The sequence below is a fragment of the Homo sapiens genome, chromosome 16, assembly GCF_000001405.40.
Source record: "Homo sapiens chromosome 16, GRCh38.p14 Primary Assembly".
Lineage (NCBI taxonomy): Eukaryota > Metazoa > Chordata > Mammalia > Primates > Hominidae > Homo > Homo sapiens.
This window is the reverse complement of record NC_000016.10, coordinates 17,606,766-17,608,941: the sequence shown is the minus strand read 5'-3', so window position 1 is coordinate 17,608,941 and position 2,176 is coordinate 17,606,766. Positions and strand designations below refer to the sequence as shown.

At 44.5% G+C, this 2,176-nt stretch overlaps 1 annotated feature.

Moving 5' to 3' along the window:
• Positions 740 to 1,939: an enhancer, noted in NCBI's record as "BRD4-independent group 4 enhancer chr16:17700860-17702059 (GRCh37/hg19 assembly coordinates)". NCBI's record gives its function as "activates an origin of replication core promoter dependent on BRD2, P300/CBP, MED14 and CDK7 cofactors, and independent of BRD4, by STARR-seq in HCT116 cells {active_cell/tissue: HCT116}" and the evidence as "EXISTENCE:reporter gene assay evidence [ECO:0000049][PMID:35650434]".

Genomic DNA, 2,176 nt, shown 5'->3' with positions numbered 1-2,176 from the left:
TCTGTCAGACACTGTTGGTTGTCTACTAAATAGTCAGCCCTCCTGCCTGACAGAATCTCAATCTCATTTGGGGCAGGGCGGGGAAAGGGTACAATACGCAAGCCCTAGAATGAGAATCATGATCGATCTGAGCCATTCATAGCACTCCTGTTTCCCCTTGCTTGATCCCTAATTTTCCAACTCCCCCTGTGGTTAGGGATGGCCACATAGGACTATTTAACCAGTGAAACAGCAGCAGCTATCTGCTGGAGAACTTTGGGAAATATTTCCTTCCTGATATAAGGAGAAAGAAATGATATAATCCTTTCTTAATGTCCTGAATTTCCCTCCTTACCTTCTCCTTCTTGTCTTTGAATATAGTCATGATGCCTGGAGCAACAGCAGCCACCGTGTAACTATGGGACAAGAAGCATGAGTATAAAAAGCCCATATGCTAAAAATGGAAGTCCATATTGGAATGGAACTTGGTCTTTAGGGACAAGATCAAGTTGCTGAACGAACCTTGGGGTGTCTGCCTCCAGTCTTCTTGTTAGTAAGATAAGAGATTGTTTAGACTACCATTGATCGCAATTCTATAACTTACAGCCACGCATAATCCTAACTAAATAGCATCCCCAAATTCAGTGTGTCTACAGTATCTCTGGCCGCCATCCCCCCTCAAGCATAGTCTTGCTGTATTGCCCAGACTGGACTTCAACTCTTAAGCTCAAGCAATCCTCCCACTTTCGCTGGGACAACGGGCACATACTGCTGTGCCCAACTTTGGAAAAAGATTTTTTATGTTTATCCCAAGTGCAATGAGAAGCAGCTGAAGGGTTTTGAGAAGATGGAGGTGACAGTGATGTATGTCTTTATGTATTAAGAAGGTCACTTTTGGCTCAGATGAGAAGATATTATAAGGAAACAAGAATGGAGTGTGAGGGATGAGTTAAGTGTCTGTTTCAAGAAATGATGGCATCTTGCGTTGGGGTGCTGTCAATGGGGCTGAGAGGAATGGGAAGATTGGGGGGAGTTTTAGGAGTTAAATTTGCACAATTGGGTGATGAGCTGGATGTGGCGGAGCAGACAAGTCAGAGTTGCAGGCGCACAGAGCTGTCTCCACCTTCCTGCTCCTGTCTCGCTGCCTCTTGACGTCCCTTGGGGCTTCAGGCCAGGAGCATCTGCCTTTGAACAGCTGCCAGACTTCTCATCCCAAGCCAAACCTGCTTGTGGGAACAAGGTCAAATAAGGGTTTTCCTTCTAGGAAAATCAATGAAACTCATAAACCAGAAGAAAAAATATTAACCCTGCCTACCTTTCTTCGCACACACCTGTCCCTGCAAAAAAAGCTGCATGTGACATTTCCCAATAATTACATCATATGATTGAGAGGAGATGCAAGAGATCATTTAATTCTCCGAAGCCTGTTTCCCCTGGAAGGTGCGCCTCAGCTTCTTCTCAGGCCCCCCACCGGAGTGAGGTTTGTGCAAATTACCATAACCTCCTGCTGGAAGGCGTGCATCTTTGTTTTTGTGGTTTCTTTCCTCTGACCCAGGCTCAGGCAGGACTTCCTGCCATGAACTCTCAGAGCCCCTGCACCTTACAGCACTTATCAGTCAGCAGTTAAATAATTCATTATGTAAGTAGCTGTTTAATGTCCCATTAGGATGAGGGAAAATGCGTGGTTTTATTCAGTATGCTTTCAAATTTCAGATTCATTTAACAGCACGAAATTAACTCACCCTCAGGGGATGATCCAGACATCTGACCATCTCCTCCATCTCTGTTTGTGCTTATGAAGTGCATTCCAGACCCCAGACAGTACCTCTGGCCCACTGGCTCAGAGGAAATTCTTCTATCACAAATCTCAGCTCTAATGCTTGTAAGCTCTGTGACTTTGATCCAGTTAACTGCCCTCTTCATGTCTCTGTTTCTTCTTTTTTAGAATTAAGGCAATGCCACCCACCATAAGATAGTAGTTAGGACCCTGGAGTCAGAGCGGCTCAGGTTCAAATCCCACCTCTGCCACTTCTTTGCTATGTGACTTCGAGAAGGCGACTTAACCTTTCTGAATCTGTGCCTCCTTCTCTAAATTGAGAATTGTATGTATCTTATATGGCTGCTGTGAAAATTGGATGATGCATTTTTAAAGTAGCCTCAAACTTGGCATTTATTAGCTGCTCAATAACTGTTCAGT